Raw genomic sequence first — 16,178 nt, forward strand, 5'->3', positions numbered from 1 at the left:
AAGTGTGATCTATCATTTAGAGCTCTGAAATAATAAAAAGCTGTATAAGTTTCTAGTTTTCTTTAGTATTTCATTTCTCTCTGAAAATGTCCATGTTTCTCTGTGACTGGCTCTGTTTCTAGAAATCTCTGGTAGGCTATGGAGTTATTTTATCTTGGGGTCATTGTTGTTTCCTTTAATAGATCTGAACCCTTAGGTTTGCTCGTGTTGTATTAAATAGCTAGTTGTTCATCCTCAGTGTTTCTGCTAAGCTCCCAGAGACGTCTGTGGCCCTGTGCAGAGGCCAACAACAAAACTGGTTTATATGCTTATTTCCAGGGGAACTGGAGCACTACCCTGGGGTTTGGAATGTAAAGAAGGCATTAATTGCAGCTTTTGGCACCGATTTACCCTTATGCTGTTAGGTAAATAAATCTAGTTGGTACCAGGTCTAGTGGCTGAGCCTATTAAGTTATCACTATCACCAGTTTCATGACTTTGGGTGGCGGGCCACTTCCTAAAGTCCTTGAGCCCAAGTTAGCTGTTCCTCCTTTATGCTCTCATTGAAACCCTCTCCTAATAACATACCCTGTACCCCACTGTTAATTTCAGTTTGCCTGCAATCGGATGTTTAGGTGAAATCTGACCAAGTAAGTCTTTGGAATGTCCAATTGACAAGGAGGAAATCTAAATGATAGTGTTTTGTTTTGTTTTTGTTTTTTTCTTTTTTTGAAAAGAGATAATCATTCAGGTCTTCGTGAGCTAAGGCCAAACAAACAAAAAACACTTGCTTTGATGGACTGAATACTGTTATTAGAAGTAAATATGGAAAATGAACCAGACCATGAAAATGTGGAACAGAGCCTCTGTGCCAAGACGAGCGAAGAAGAGCTGAATAAGTCTTTCAATCTAGAAGCTTCACTTTCAAAATTCTCTTACATAGATATGGACAAGGAACTGGAGTTCAAAAATGATCTGGTAAAAATTTCAATTTCTGTCAAGTGATAATGTTTAACCAGTGTAGATTAGAGTATGCTTTGTGACCCAGAGACTCTAAGTCTGTCATTTTTGCATGGGTTAATAGGAGTCTGTGTATAATTTTTTTTTTTTTTTTTGGATACAGGGTCTCACTCTGTTGTCCAGGTTGGAGTACAGTGGTGCAAACATGGCTCACTGAAGCTTCAACCTCCTGGGCTCAAGTGATCCTCCTACCTCAGCCTCCCAAGTAGCTGGGACCACAGGTGTGTGTCACCACGCCCGCCTAATTTTTAATTTTTTTGTAGAGAGGGTCTCGCCATGTTGCCCAGGCTGGTCTCAAACTCCTGGACTTAAGCAGTTCTCCCTTCTTGGCCCCCACGTGTATAGTTTTATGAGATAACATTACTCTTCATTTGTATAGTCCATTACAGTTTATGAAACAATTTGATTCATGTTGTCATTTGAGCTTTACAACTCTCACAACACTCTGATAATCCATTGTATAGATGAAGACACTGGCATGCAGCTATGTAAATGACTTCTCAAAGTCACAGAGCCAGTGGTAGTTCCTTATCTTGCACAGCATTTTTTTTTCCCTTTGATTTAATATTATGTTAATGGGTTTCTATGAGTATGAGAATAACAGCATGTTGCTTGACCTAATTATCTCTCACCATAATTTATGAAATAACTAAGAAATGTGATGTCAGACTTTTGCTTATTGCTTATGACTTATGTCTAAACTTAGAAAATTAGGGGTTTTCTTAGATGTTGTTTTGTCATGTTTAAGAAAGCAGATGCAAAAGTCTTTCAACACAAGTTTTCTGGAAAGTAGGCCGGGCGTGGTGGCTCACGCCTGTGATTCCAGCACTTTATGAGGCCGAGATGGGTGGATCACTTGAGGTCAGGAGTCCAAGACCAGCCTGGCCTTATGATGAAACCCCATCTCTACTAAAAATACAAAAAAGATTAGCTGCTTGTGGTGGCACGTGCCTGTACTCCTAGCTCCTTGGGGGACTGAGGCAGAATTGCTTGAACCCGGGAGGTGGAGGTTGCAGTGAGCTGAGATCACACCATTGCACTCCAGCCTGGGCATCACAGCAAGACTCTGTCTCAAAAAAAAAAAAAAAGTGTTCTGGAAAGGGCTGTCAGGATAGTGCAGTTAGTGCATATATGTCCTTGATGGTAACTGAACGTGTAGATAGGAAAGGAAACCACTCTGTAGTCTTGACTTGATTATTACTGTGGATTTTTGAGTTGATCATTTTGGTGGTAAGTTTGTCTTTTAATTGATGGTGGTTTTAATCAACTAAAACCCCTCACAATTATAAGCAGAAAGGCATCATTTTGTGAGCACTATTTTTTTTCTTTATTTAGATTGATGACAAGGAGTTTGATATTCCTCAAGTTGATACTCCTCCAACACTGGAAAGCATACTAAATGAGGTAAGTGAATATTAATGATTACTGTCATTTTGTGTGTGGCATTCATCTTAATACTTTTTGGATTAGTTATCATACATGCACCTAGATGCGCACTTTCCAGTAGGGTAGCCACTAGTCGTGTGTGTCAGTTTAAAATTTAAATTAATTATAATCAAATAAAAATTTAATTCCTTGGCTGCACAAGGCACATTTCAAGTGCTCAATAGCCACGTGTGGCTAGTGGCTACTATATGGCTAGGGGACAGCATAGATAAAGAGTATTTCCGTCATCACAGAAAGTTCTCTTGGACAGCAGTAGTCTAGATTGTGAGCTTCTCAAGGGCATAAACCATCTCTTGTTCATCTTTAGGGTCTCTGTGCCCAGAACAATGCCTAATACTTGGCAGACTTTAAAATATATTTTATTAAGTGAATTGAGATGCAAAATTTATGTCACTTTTGAGGTTTGTATTATGTGTTGCTAATGGTTAAGTTGTCTCTACCACTGATATTCAAATAGCTTGTCCTCTGACGCTAAAGAACATCTTGCAACCTTATAATAAGCTTCATCACTCTTCTACATGAAGAAAACTAATCTTTTATAGTTTATCTTATGAATACCATTTCTAATGAAAAGTTTTTCAGAGTTTTGAAATGGTGTTATTCTTTTCTGAATTGGGAGATCAAAGGCTTTCTAAAGGGGCTCTGTGAGAGGACATGGTTGGTGAAGCACGCCTGTTTTATATACCCTGCATCTGCTGACAACCCTTCAACTCAGTCTTCATTTTTTAAAAACTTGCTTGAGACTTCCCTTGGAGGTTTTAGCTTCTAATTTGAGAAAGATCTTGCAATGTATAAATCTATTTCAAATCCGCAGTTATGTTTTCCAAAAGATAAAGACCCAAAAGTTCCCTGACAGAAAGGCCCACGTATACCAAAGCTCCGAGTGAGTTGGGCCTCTGTCTTTATTATTTCTTTGCCTATCCTGTGAGGGTTGTAGGCAGCACTTTATAGGATGCAAACTACTTTCTCTGTCAATTATGTCTTTTATTTTTCTTGTATGGCTTTTATTTCTATGTTTTACATCAGTTTGATGTTGCTGTTACTTTGAGTGTATTTTAACTTTGAATGTGTTCTAACTTCAGAAGTGTCCTATATGTTCTGTGTGAAGACTTAAGCATTTTTAGTTTTGATAAAGAAGGCTTTGGTCCATGAAAGAATATTCTGTTACAGTGAAATGTCCTTTATTTACTTTCTAATATAGAGGAAATCTTTCATTTAGAGGTGAGAAGATTAATTTTAGTCAGTTTTGTTAAAATGGCCTTAATTGCATCCTCATTTCAATTATTAAGTGTAAAATAAAAATAATCTTAGAGGACTGTGTATAAGGCCTTGTTTGTAAATTATTATATCAGCAAAGAAAATAATGCTCATGTGAATGAGCTGTGGTTCATAATGAAGGAAAACTGTTCCTGCACAACAACTTTCTTATCTGTGAGTAACAGTAAGTATAGTCATTAGTGGTTTACTAAGAAGATAACACTGTTATCATCCTCAATAGTAGTTTGAGTGTCTAGTGTATTTGGGTCATGGTGTTAGATGTTGGGGTTATAAAGTGCAATATGACTATCTCTGTGCTTGAGAAGGAAATGAGGCTGGGAACTGGCCAGACTTTACACCTCCAGGGAACCAGGCAAGTCGTAAGTGGAAGAAAACATAGTTCAAATTGTAGACCATTATGAAGACGATAAGGGGGCTGTGGGGAGTACTAAAGAAAATGACTGAAGGAAAAATGAAAAGGGCCGAAGTAGAAAACATAAATAAGACCTTTTCTCAGGATATGTGGATGCATATATTCTATAATGTTCATTAATATCAACCTTAAAGGAGACTGGGAAGAAATGGACATCCACTTTTTTTGTTTGTTTTTGTTTGTTTGTTTGTTTTGAGATGGAGTCTCACTCCATCGCCCAGGCTGTAGTGCAATGGCACGATCTTGGCTCACTGCACCCTCCACCTCCCAGGCTCAAGCGATTCTCGTGCCTCAGCCTCCTGAGTAGCTGGGATTACAGGTGCCCACCACCACGCCCAGCTAATTTTTATATTTTAGTAGAGACGGGGTTTCACCATGTTGGCCAGGCTGGTCTCAAACTCCTGACCTCAAGTGATCTGCGGGCCTCGGCCTCCCAAAGTTCTGGGATTGTAGGCATGAGCCACCATACCTGGCCGATGCTTTTTAAAGTAGAAATTTAGAGATTACTGAGACATCCTAGATCTCAGAATTTAGGACATGAAAGAATGTTACTAGGTATTGCCATCCTTTGAAACTATGCTTCTTCTGAGATTTTTAATTTTGAAATTCCATTCTTTAACTATAACCTTTTTCCCCTATTTCCTTCCATTGAAACTGTTTTTTGGCCTCATTAAGACCAAGTCTTTGACCCTTTCTAATCTCCCAGTTTCTGAGAATAGTCCTAGGTTTACTTCAATCCTGCTGTTGGATTGTGCAGCCAGAAATTTCTTTTGAACTTTTCATTGAAGTATATCATACATAGAGGAAGGTGCACAAATCATAAGTGTACAGTGTGGTGAATGTTAACAAACTGAACAACCTGTGTAACCAGAATCCAGATAAAGCAGCCGAACATTACTAGTACCCTAGAAGCTCATCTTGTGTCCCTTTAGTACCCAAACCCAGGGTAATTACTACTCTAACTTCTACCAGCATTGATTAAGTTTGCCTGCTTTGAACTTTATATAAATGGAATTATATAGTGTGTACTTTTCTGTTTCTGACTTCTTTCCCTTAATATTATGTTTTTAGATTTGTTCACATTGCTGTGTAAAATTCCTTGTGAATATACCTTTATTCATTCTACTGTTGATAGGTATTTGTGTAGTTTCTAATTTCTGACTACTATGAAGAGTGCTGCTGTAAAGTTTCTTATTAATGTGTTTTGGCATGTACATACTTACACACATTTCTGGTTTTTATCTGTTTTCATTTTGTTCTTTTTTTTGAGACAAGAGTCTCACTCTATCACCCAGGCTGGAGTGCAGTGGCGCGATCAGGGCTCACTGCAACCTCCTCCTCCTGGGTTCAAGTGATTCTCGTGCCTCAGCCTCCCGAGTAGGTGGGATTACCGGCATGCACCACCATACGTGGCAAAGTTTTTTGTATTTTTAGTAGAGACGGGGTTTTGCTATGTTGGCCAGGCTGGTCTCGAACTCCTGACCTCAGGTGATCTGCCTGCCTTGGCCCCCCAGAGTGCTGGTATTACAGGCATGAGCCCCTGTGCCCAGCTTTATACACATTTCTGTTGGGCATATACCTAGGAGGGGAATTAGTGGGTCATCAGGTATAGTTATATTCAGCTTTGGTATATATTGGCACCGTTTTTGAAAGTGGTGGTATTGATATACACTTCCAGCAACAGTATATGAGATTTCTGATTACTATATCCTTGTAAACGTTTGAATTTTTCTGTCTTTTTCACTTTCATTCTTAAAAGATTTGTAGTGCTATCACATCATGATTTTAATTTGTATTTCCCTAAAGACTAATGAAATTGGGTACTTTGACATAGGTTTTGACCGTTTGAATATCTCTTTTGTGAATTGCCTTTTCATATAATTAGCCCACTTCTGTCGTTTTATTTTTTAAGTGATTTATAGGAGTTCTTTATATATGCTAATACAAGCCCTTTATTTGATGTACATATTTTATCTTCTTTCTTTCTGTACATTACCTTTTCACTCTATTAATGGTTTCTTTTGAGGAGCACAAGTTCTTAATATAGTTCAGCTTATTAAAATTTTCCATTCGTGTGCGTGTGTGTGTCCTATTTAAGAAAATTTTTCCAATTCTGATGTTATGATGATGTTACCCTATTTTGTTCTAAAATCTTCATTGTTGTTCCTTTCATATGTAGATCTGTAATTCATCTGGAATTTTTTTTGGGTGTGATAGTGTGAGCTATGAGCCAGCACCATGTACTAAAAAGAGTATTCTCATCTGGTGTCACCTTTGTTATAAATCAGGTAATCATATAGGTGTGGATCTGAGTCCATTGGTGTGTCCATACTTGCCTCGATCTCACATTCTAGTGATTGAAACTTTATAATAGGTCTTGATATCTGGTAGTTTAAAATCTTCCAGCTTTGATGTTATTCTTCAAGATTGCCTTATTTATTTATTTATTTTTTTGCATTTTCATGTAAGTTTTAGAATTAGTTTATCAGTTCACACACACACACACACACACACACACAAATCAGCTGAAATTTGAAAGGATTGTGCAGTTTTTTTCACATCAGTTTGGGGATAATTGATACTTTTACTGTGTAGCAGTAGTTTTAAATTCAGTCTTGACATCTTCACTTCTTTTTTTCCCTTCACTTTTTCTTTCACTTATCCTGTAAGCCTGGCTTAATTCATCTGATCCATTTTCTTTAATTATGTCCCCAGGCTTTTTAAGAAAATCAAATAACATTTTGATTGACTCTCTTGTTTAAGATCTTGATGCTGCTGTATTTATTTCTGAATTATTTCCTTCCCTTTTCCTACAGCAATCGTTCCAATCTTTATAGCACTTAAGCAACATAATGTCTTATTGCCAGTCCTAACCCTCTTTTTAGAAGACCTATGTGTAGAGATATCTGGAAAGCAATGGTAAATTTGGACCTAAACCTTGAGAAATGTTGATGCTAAAGACACAGATTTTGGAGTCATTAGATAACATGGTTCTTAAAGCTATAGATATGGATGAGCTTACTCAAATAGGAAGTCCATGAAGTAGGAAGAGAAGATGAGAGCTTAGAATATAATCCTGGGGGACAATCGTATTTAAAGGTTGGGCTGAGAAGAAGCTAGCATGTGACTAATAGGAGGACACATAAGTTAGCGGAGAACCAGGAAGGAGAGATGTACCGAAAACTAAAGGAAAAGAAAGCTTCGAGATGTAGTGAATGAGCCAGGCGTGGTGGCATGCACCTGTAGTCCCAGCTTCTTGGAGGCTGGAGTGGAAGATTGCTTGAGGCCAGGAATTTGAGGCTGCAGTGAGCTGTGATTGTGCTACTGCACACCGGCCTGGGTGACAGGGAATGGTCAACAGGATTAAATGATGCCTGGAGAACAAGAACATGCTAACAGAAAGCAGGCCAGTGGATTTGGCTAGTAGCATCAGCAAGGTCGGTAGGAGCTTGTAATGAGTGGATCGAGGTAGTGAGTAGACATTAATCTCTCAAGTACATTGATTGGAAGTGGTAAGGCAGAAGGTAGTGCAGCTGAAAGAGACGGTGAGACATTGTTCTCTGATGTTTGTCACTCAGAATCAACTTGGGCAAAGCCAAGTTCCTCATCCTGCTTTATCTGCCATTTGTCTGCTTTCTAATTTCAGTGAGTAGAGTCACCTTTTACCTGGTTGTAGAAGCTGGAAACCTTGTACTCTTCTGTGACTTCTCCCTTACCTCTCCTCCCATCCGTACTCCTACTCAACCCCCCATTTCAATGGTAACCAGAGACGTTTGATTTTTTCTCCGTAATGTGTTCATCATTCCCTCTGTTGACTTCTTCTGCAGCTTCTTAGGTTGGGATCTCCCGTTTTTCCTTGATAGTGCAATAGCCCTCTTACTGGTCCTTAAAGTCTTCTTGTCTCGCCTCATCCATTCTTCATACTGCCCCACCTATCTTTTTAAAACATGGTTCCCATCATGTCTTTCCACTTCTTAAAAATGTCAGTTGCCTTCCCACTGCCTGCTATATATAGTATACTAAATATTCATTAAATGAGTACTGGTTATGTGTCAGGCATTATACTAGGCACTAGAGGTACAATGATGAACAAGATAGACATGGGCCCTGCTGCCATCTAGTGTAATGGCATATAAGGCTTTTCATGGTTTGGGTACCAGCTTATCTTTCTAGGGTCATCTCCAACTTCTGCTTATATCCTCCAGACATTTTGGACTACTACTTTTCCCATGGACAAAATCTGTATTGTGAAATCACTGTGTCTTTCTGTGCTGTTTCCTACCCAGAATGCCTTTCTGCACTGTTTCCTACCCAGAATGCCTTTCTGCTGTCTGCTTGTCATTTTTTTTTATAGTAGACTATTTATAGTCAGATGGTGTTTGTTTTCTTCAAATTAGCCATTGGCTGTTAGTTAACTGCTAAATCATCTGTAAAAGCTTGATTTTTAAGAAATATTCTACAGCTAACAGTAATCTGCATACTGCTCCTGCTTCTTCCTGCTACACGAAAGAAGTTTTGGGGTGACTTCTTTGTAGAGAGAAATAGCTGTCTAGAATTTAATACTAGTAATTCTGTATGGTTTCTTTCTGGTCAATAAGAATGCATGGAATAGAGGCGAAAAGCAGAAATAAGCACTTGTGTGCTCTGGAGAAACCCATTAATGCCTGACTCATTTCATAGAGTATTTGGATTTTGAATGTATTGATTTATCTTCTTCCAATTTAGACTGATGATGAAGATGAGTCTTTTATTCTTGAGGATCCTACATTGTTAAACATTGATACTATTGATTCTCACTCCTATGATACTTCATCTGTGGCAAGCTCAGATAGTGGTGACAGGACCAACTTAAAAAGGTAGGTATTCATGTCAATCATACTTGCTTACAGTTGAAGTATTCAATTGTTTCAAATGTAAATATTGTACTTTTTAAAGTACAATATGGTCTGTTGAAGCCTTGCATGGGAAGTAGAAGGGATATAATATCTTGAAAATTTTGGTACCATTAAGGAAGAATGTAAAAGGGTAGGTGCTATGACCACAGTCTGAACTCTCGGTAGGAAACCATAATGATAGCCAGGGACTTCTGGAAGCAGGAGAGCCCTTGGAGGAAGCACAGATTAAACCTGGCACAGTGTCTGTGGTGGAAACATGCAGCTTGGTTCACTGCCCTACTGTTCTGCCCACCCTCCCGCACCTCCCTGTCATCCGCATTCTCTAAGATCAGCCTTCCTTCATGCTCTTGGAGTGGGTTCAGAGAATCACAAAGACGATTAAAAATTCAGGAAAAGGACTTCTAACCCTAAATAACTTAAATTTGGGCTGCTTTTCACCTTCCAAGTTCTTGGAGAGACTATGAAAAGGAAAGAGAATTGGAGGAATCATACTATAAATACATTATTGAATTCACGTGTAACTTTAATATTGATAAAGTGATCTGTTTTTCTTCTTCTTCGATTTTGCCTGTGTCAATGTTCTTTTCTTTAGGTTATCTCTTATGGGATAGGGGCTGTTGCTGGATATGTTAACCTGTTCAACAATGTGTCCTTCAAATAGATAACTTAAATGTTTTTGATGATCTGGTCACTACCTGCTTAAAAGATATGGTATCATCTTGTTGCCTGCAAAATTAAGTCAGAACTCCTCTGCATGGCATCAGTCTGGGCCACGCTTACTGTTTTGACCTGATCTCTAAGCACTCACACTTCAGCCCTCCTAGTCTGTACCTTTTGTGTATGTGTACCCCAGACACACTGTACACCTTTACATCTTCATATTTCTGCCTGTGCTTTTTGCCTGACAAACTCCTAGTCATCCATCAAGGTCAAATTAGTCATCTTCTCTTTTCTATAGCTGTCCCTAATGCCCCCCAAATAAACAGAATTAAACTGTTCTTCATTTGCATTTATATGGCACTTAATTCATATCTCTAATATAACATTTATCCTTTAGAGTTACTTCTCAGCCCCTCAGCTATGAAATCCTTGACAGTAATAACTGACTTTCTTATTTTTGTATTCCCAGAGCATACTTCTAGTGATACAAAGTAGGTGCTCAGTAATGTTGGGTAAAAGTTTAAAAGTTACTTTTTGTATGAGGATGAGTAGAGGGGGAATTTGAGGAGGTGGTTGAAGATTGAGAGGGTGGTCATAGGAGAAGCAGCAGCACAGGAAAGGTGAGCAAGGGTAAGAAGGCAGTAGGGTAATGTAGACTTGCAGGCCGGAGGAGTGCTCTGTAGGCAGCCTTCTGGAGAACATGAGAACCTACTGCCGCATTCCCTAAGGTGGGCATGGAGCAGTTTGAATCGTGAGAAAGGAATGGTGATTTGATTCATTTTCCTGCTTGTGCTTCTTTGAGGTTCAAGGCGGGTTTAATACATTTTAAGGTGGGATTGTTAGATCCGTCATACCTCTTTTAGGAGATATACCTAATGCTAAATGATGAGTTAATGGGTGCAGTACACCAACATGGCACATGTATACATATGTAACAAACCTGCACATTGTGCACATGTACCCTAAAACTTAAAGTATAATAATAATAAAAGAAAAAAAAACAGATCTAACAAATTACATACAATGTTGTCTTCTGCTTTTTGTGCGTGTGTGTTTTCTTTCAAAGCTTTGGGACCTCTCCTTTTCACTATTTTTATCTGTTTTTAAATGTTTTTCTTTTTTTTTTTCAGGAAGAAGAAATTACCTGATTCTTTTTCACTTCATGGATCAGTTATGCGCCATTCACTTTTGAAGGGAATTTCTGCCCAGATAGTGTCTGCAGCTGTAAGTATTTTGTTCTTTTCCCTCAACTTTGTAACCTGCAATGGCATAATGAAGTAGGAATGAGCATAGAACAAAATACAGCACTTCTCTTGGCCCGAGGCTTAAGAAAAATAGAATCTGGCTTTCATGGTTTTTGTGTGATGATTTTTGACTTATGAGACATGGCTACACGTCTTGACAGAAATTAGTGCAGCCATGAAAATAAAGTTCTGCTCAGAGTCTAGGCTGTGCCTAAATGAAATATGGCAGCAAGCCTAAAATAAATACTATTTGCCTTTTCTTTAAATTCCTTTTCATTTAGTTGCCGTCTTGTGTATTTGTTGAGATTGTGTGCTTGTTTTTTTTTTCTCTTTTCATATGGAGAAATGATTGATCAGAATCTTTTACAACTGAATGATTTTTTTTTTTTGTAATTCACAAAAGTATTTTCATGTCCCTTATTTCATTTATTCTTACAACTTGGAAACTAGGTAAAGCTGTATTCTATTTTACAAATGAGAAGATAGGCTCAGGAAGGTGATATTAACTTGTCTTAGATCATTCTGTTAGGAGGTAGCAAGGCATTTATTCAAAATTGGGGTTTCTGGCTTCAAGTGTAGTGCCTCTATTGTGAAATGGAGGTGGCATTGGTGAATGTGGTCAATGTGTAAAATGGCTGGAACAGAGTATCTGTGGCCTTTTTTGAAAATTATGTAGAGCACTGGGTTAATGTAAACGATATTTAATGGTCCATAGACAGCAGAACTTTTCGTTTGACACTATCAGACTTTTCTTTTGACCCCAAAGCCCATAGTTTTATGTAGTCTTTCAATTTTGGTTTTCTGAGTACAATGTACAGATTCTGTATATAATGATAATGACAGATTTATACTCCAGGAAGTTTAATGTATTTTCATGTTCTTTTTGGGGCATTTAATTGGCATTTTGCATATCCAAGTTGGACAAGAAATAAAAATTTGGATTTTTCTTTTTTTTTTTTTTTTTTGAGACGGAGTCTCACTCTGTCGCCCAAGCTGGAGTGCAGTGGCACGACCTCAGCTCACTGCAAGCTCCACCTCCCGGATTCATGTCATTCTCCTGCCTCAGCCTCCTGAGTAGCTGGGACTACAGGCGCCTGCCACCATGCCCAGCTAATTTTTTGTAGTTTTAGTAGAGACACGGTTTCAACGTGTTAGCCAGGATGGTCTCGATCTCCTGACCTTGTGATCCGCCCGCCTCAGCCTCCCAAAGTGCTAGGATTACAGGCATGAGCCACCTCGTCCAGCCAAGTTTGGATTTTTCAAGAGGATGAGAGATTGATACAGAATTACAAGATACCACAATTGCACTTCAATGTTCAGGTTTATCAGAAAAAGCCCTTAGTGCAAATAACAACAACAACAACAAAAGTATTTACTATAACAATTGGGGTATCCTGACCTAGCTCATATATCATGAAGTGAATTTAAATAGAGAGATGCTCAAGCAATAGAGGAAACCTGGGCAATTGTTCTTCCTCTTTTAGGTGGAGAGTAACTCATATTTGCTAGAATGGGAACCACCTGTTGAGGATTACATTTCCATGACGTTTTCTGAATTTAATCCTTATGTAGGTGATGAAATTCATTCCTTTCAAAATCAAGATGAACCAGAACAGTCATTTGACCCACCTGTGCAGTTTTAAAAATATTTTGAGTAATGGAGACTGAGCTAAAACTCAGACTCTGAACAATGATTAGATAAATCTGTTATTTAAAAGGAGTTCTCCTTCCCCTTGAAGAGGAGGGGAAATTCTAATAAATCCCAGAGTGTTTGCATTCTGTTTTTATTTGATTGCTATGGCTGAGCTCCTTTGGTATGTTAAAATGAAAACTGCCTTTCCTGTGACAGTCATCATACGGTGCCTTCCTATTTTTGGATTACCAGCTCAATTTAAATTGCATGCTTTCCTGTGATGGTTGGTTTATTAACATGTAAAGCTAGTTATATTTTTGGATATTTCTCCCTGAATAATTGCTCAATAGTGCCTTCAGCCATGTGGTTAGTGATGTTATTAGGGCTGTTTGGGGCCTTGATCACAGTTTTGGGATTCATGCATGGAAAACACTTGGAGAGATGAAATTTTTGCAATTGTGAAGCTCATTTTTTAATTTGGGATCCTTTTCAAAGTAGTATGACATGTGACTATACTTTAAAATAATTCAAAGTAACTTTTTTTTAAGGATCTTTATTATTTTTATGATCAACTTGAAAATACTAGAGATAGCTTAGTGTAGTGTTTTTTTTCAAAATGCGTCCACTGTATAAGAATCTCCTAGGGTACTGATTAAATTGCAGATTCCTGGGGCTCACCCCAAACCTACAGAATCCCGAGCATACAGGCATCCCAGGTGATTCCCATGCATTTTGACTTTTGAGACCCACTACCCTCAGATATTGCAACACCAGTACTAAAATTCTGTAATCTCTACAATGCTTCCTAATATCTGTGTTTTTTTTAGCTTTTGAAGTCAGGTGACTTCTGATTCCATTATTCAGGTTCTATTTTGAATATAGAACAGACCTTCGAATAACATCATTTTGTTCAATGTCATTTTGTTATAATGTTAATGAAGAAAAAACAATTGGTTTAAGTTGTTTTGCTTAAAGTCAGTTTCTAAGAACTTACTGACAACATTAAGTGAGGTCTTACTAGAGTTTTTGACCTTCATCTGCTGTCTCATTTCTCTTTCCCTGTCTAGATGCAAATCAGTCATTTATTAACTATGTATTACATGCTTCTTAATTGTCGAGCATTATGTTAGGCATGTTTGACACACAGACATATACACTCAAAGTTGGATAGATGCTGCTATCCAGAGCATTGTGTGTAGCAGCCTTGCTCATTGCTTTTTTCTCCTGTTTCCATGTACTGGAGTAAGTTTAAGTGAGTGCCCAGGAAGCTCTACAGAGTTTGTTAAATAGAGTCTGTAGAGTCTGCCTTCTGAGAGATGATAATAATTGACCACGCTGACAAGGACAGACATAGAAAAGAAGATGTGTAAGTGATACAAGGAGCCTGTCCTGGGATTTGGAAGCTCTGAGTTTGAGATGTAGTTCTGCCACTTACCAAGTACCCTTTGTCAAGTCAGTTAAACTCTTGGAAATGTCTGTTTTTAAAATCTGGAAAATCAGAATAACATTGCCTGTTCTATACATCTCTCTAGGTCTGAGAATCAAGTAGTGTAATATCTGTATACGCAAGCTCTTTGCTGCTACAGTACTGTATCACTACAAACTCTTAGGGTTATTTAAAGCTATGTGAGCATAGAATTGATACTCTTACATATTTATTTGATTCTTCACATTTAATTTGATCCTCAGGACAGCTCACTGAGGTAAACAGTGCAGTATTTGCTATTTCTTTGAACAGATGAGGAGACTAATGTTCAGAAAAGTTAGGTGACTTTTCAAATGCCATGTAGTTACCGGTAAGGAGCTGGGACTAGTACTTCTTTATGTTTTAATTTCTTATGCTTGAGAACTGATTTAATATACCCTGTTGGGGTTTATTTAGAGGTTATTAGGTAATTGGTAGATAGGAAAGTCCTACTTAGTAGTAGAAACATCTTTAACATGTTTACTTTTCTCAAATCTTTATGTACTCCTACCATTTTGACCCCATAGTACTTATAGTTTATTCAAGTATAGAAAATGGAACATCTTTCCTCTTTTTCCTTTGCATTTCCATTATAATCAGTACCCTCCCTGAGGCATCTTACTTAGCAAAGGCACTTATATACTTAGTAAAATAAAACAATCCCCTTTCATGCCCTTTGTATTTTGTTGAGATATATAGCTTTTGTAATTTCTGTTAGTTGGGGGCAAAAATAAAGGTTCTACCTCTAATCTAAATTGATTTGGAGCAAGTATATGTAAAGCAAGAGCCATATACCATTTTCTGTTTTAAAATGAGAATATTTTTCAAATACTTTCTTTAAAATTTCATTTAGGACAAAGTAGATGCTGGCTTGCCTACAGCAATTGTAAGTATACTTTAACTTTTTAAAGGTAAGTTTTCTATTTGATTGGGTTTTCTTAGATTTATCATTACATTGTTCAAAATACTACATAAGTTGTTATGGTAATAAATTCACAAGTCATTTTACTGCCAGTAATCAGGTTTAACATTTATCCATGTTGAATGCTTTCTTTTTTCCTAATTTTTTGTTACTTTTTAGGCTTTTGTTTGAGAAGCAGATAATGGAGTAATATTAGCCTTCTCCAGGTTTATTTGTTTGTAGTACTACCCTGCCCAAGTAAATTTGCTTCTTCTGTGATTTGGCTCCCCTTCCACAAGGAATGGAAAGCATCATTTGATAGGATCACTTTGTGGAAAATAGTACATTTAACAGCTCTGGATTCCATTGTCAGGCTTGCCAAATAGAACTCTGTTGCAGTATTGTAGAGAACTAGGGGATATTGAAAGCACGCTGGTACTCTCTCTTCTTGTCTTCCTCCAGTGCCTTTTTAGCATTCCTTTTAGTCAGTCTTTGGTAAGGAAGTGGGTGAGTTTTGAACACTTTGGATGGCTTTAGGCCCCTGCGGATAAACTAGAGAAGTGTGTTCTCATCTCTTCCCCATGCCTCGTAGGAAGCTCTAGGTTGGGTAGCATAAGTGCCTCTTACTTTGCCTGGATCCCTGATTTTTTATTTGAAAGTTGCTTTAGAGGAAGCTAAGTGGCATGTTATTGCCTATAATGTTGAACATATGATATTTTGATAGTGTTACTCCTAGAGTAAATTTAGAGGGATTCTCAGAAATAAAATGTCCTGAGTTTCATTTCCCGTTTTGCCTCCTGGATGAAATTCTTCTTATTTACAATAGTTTGTATGTCATCTGGTGCCTAGAGGAAGGCAGGCCAACAAATTCAACTCTGATTATTTCAAGATTCTTAATGTAATGTCTTAAAACGTAATCTTCCCTTTTGTTTTCAGGCAGTATCCAGTCTGATAGCAGTGGGTACATCTCATGGATTGGCTTTAATATTTGGTAAATTTTTAAGTGCTTTCCTGCTTTTAAATATTAAGTGTCCTTTTGGGTTTTATAATGTCCTTTAATCACAGTTTATATAGTGTACTTGATTTTCTTGAACAAAACCAGAAAAACTTGAAAAGTAGCAGTCAGTATTTTTATAGCTAAAAATTATTTGCCTCACAGCTTTGTTTTGCTGCTTATTGCAAGTTTATTTTCTTCTTCATGAATTTATAAGCTATCATATCTATTGATCTCTCTGCAAACCTAGA

General features: G+C 37.7%; 1 protein-coding gene across 22 annotated transcripts in view; it reads left to right on the top strand.

The window, feature by feature from the left end:
* Positions 1-16,178, top strand: part of VPS8 (VPS8 subunit of CORVET complex) — a 240,449-nt gene that overhangs the window by 11,663 nt on the left and 212,608 nt on the right. For 17 of the 22 annotated variants that reach the window (NR_146113.2, XM_047447824.1, XM_024453426.2 and 14 more), the window contains 6 exons: positions 717-957; positions 2,335-2,403; positions 8,861-8,991; positions 10,821-10,914; positions 14,886-14,918; positions 15,870-15,924. Coding sequence is in view for 19 of the 22 variants with exons in the window: in XM_047447824.1 (XP_047303780.1) it covers positions 805-957; positions 2,335-2,403; positions 8,861-8,991; positions 10,821-10,914; positions 14,886-14,918; positions 15,870-15,924 (535 nt within the window). In the remaining 3 variants the exon portion in view is untranslated. Of the gene's footprint in view, positions 1-318; positions 405-716; positions 958-1,201; positions 1,221-2,334; positions 2,404-8,860; positions 8,992-10,820; positions 10,915-14,885; positions 14,919-15,869; positions 15,925-16,178 lie in introns of those variants that run through there. The other 5 variants (XM_024453428.2, NM_001349292.2, NM_001349293.2 and 2 more) reach the window with 4 other exon arrangements.

The sequence above is a fragment of the Homo sapiens genome, chromosome 3, assembly GCF_000001405.40.
Source record: "Homo sapiens chromosome 3, GRCh38.p14 Primary Assembly".
Lineage (NCBI taxonomy): Eukaryota > Metazoa > Chordata > Mammalia > Primates > Hominidae > Homo > Homo sapiens.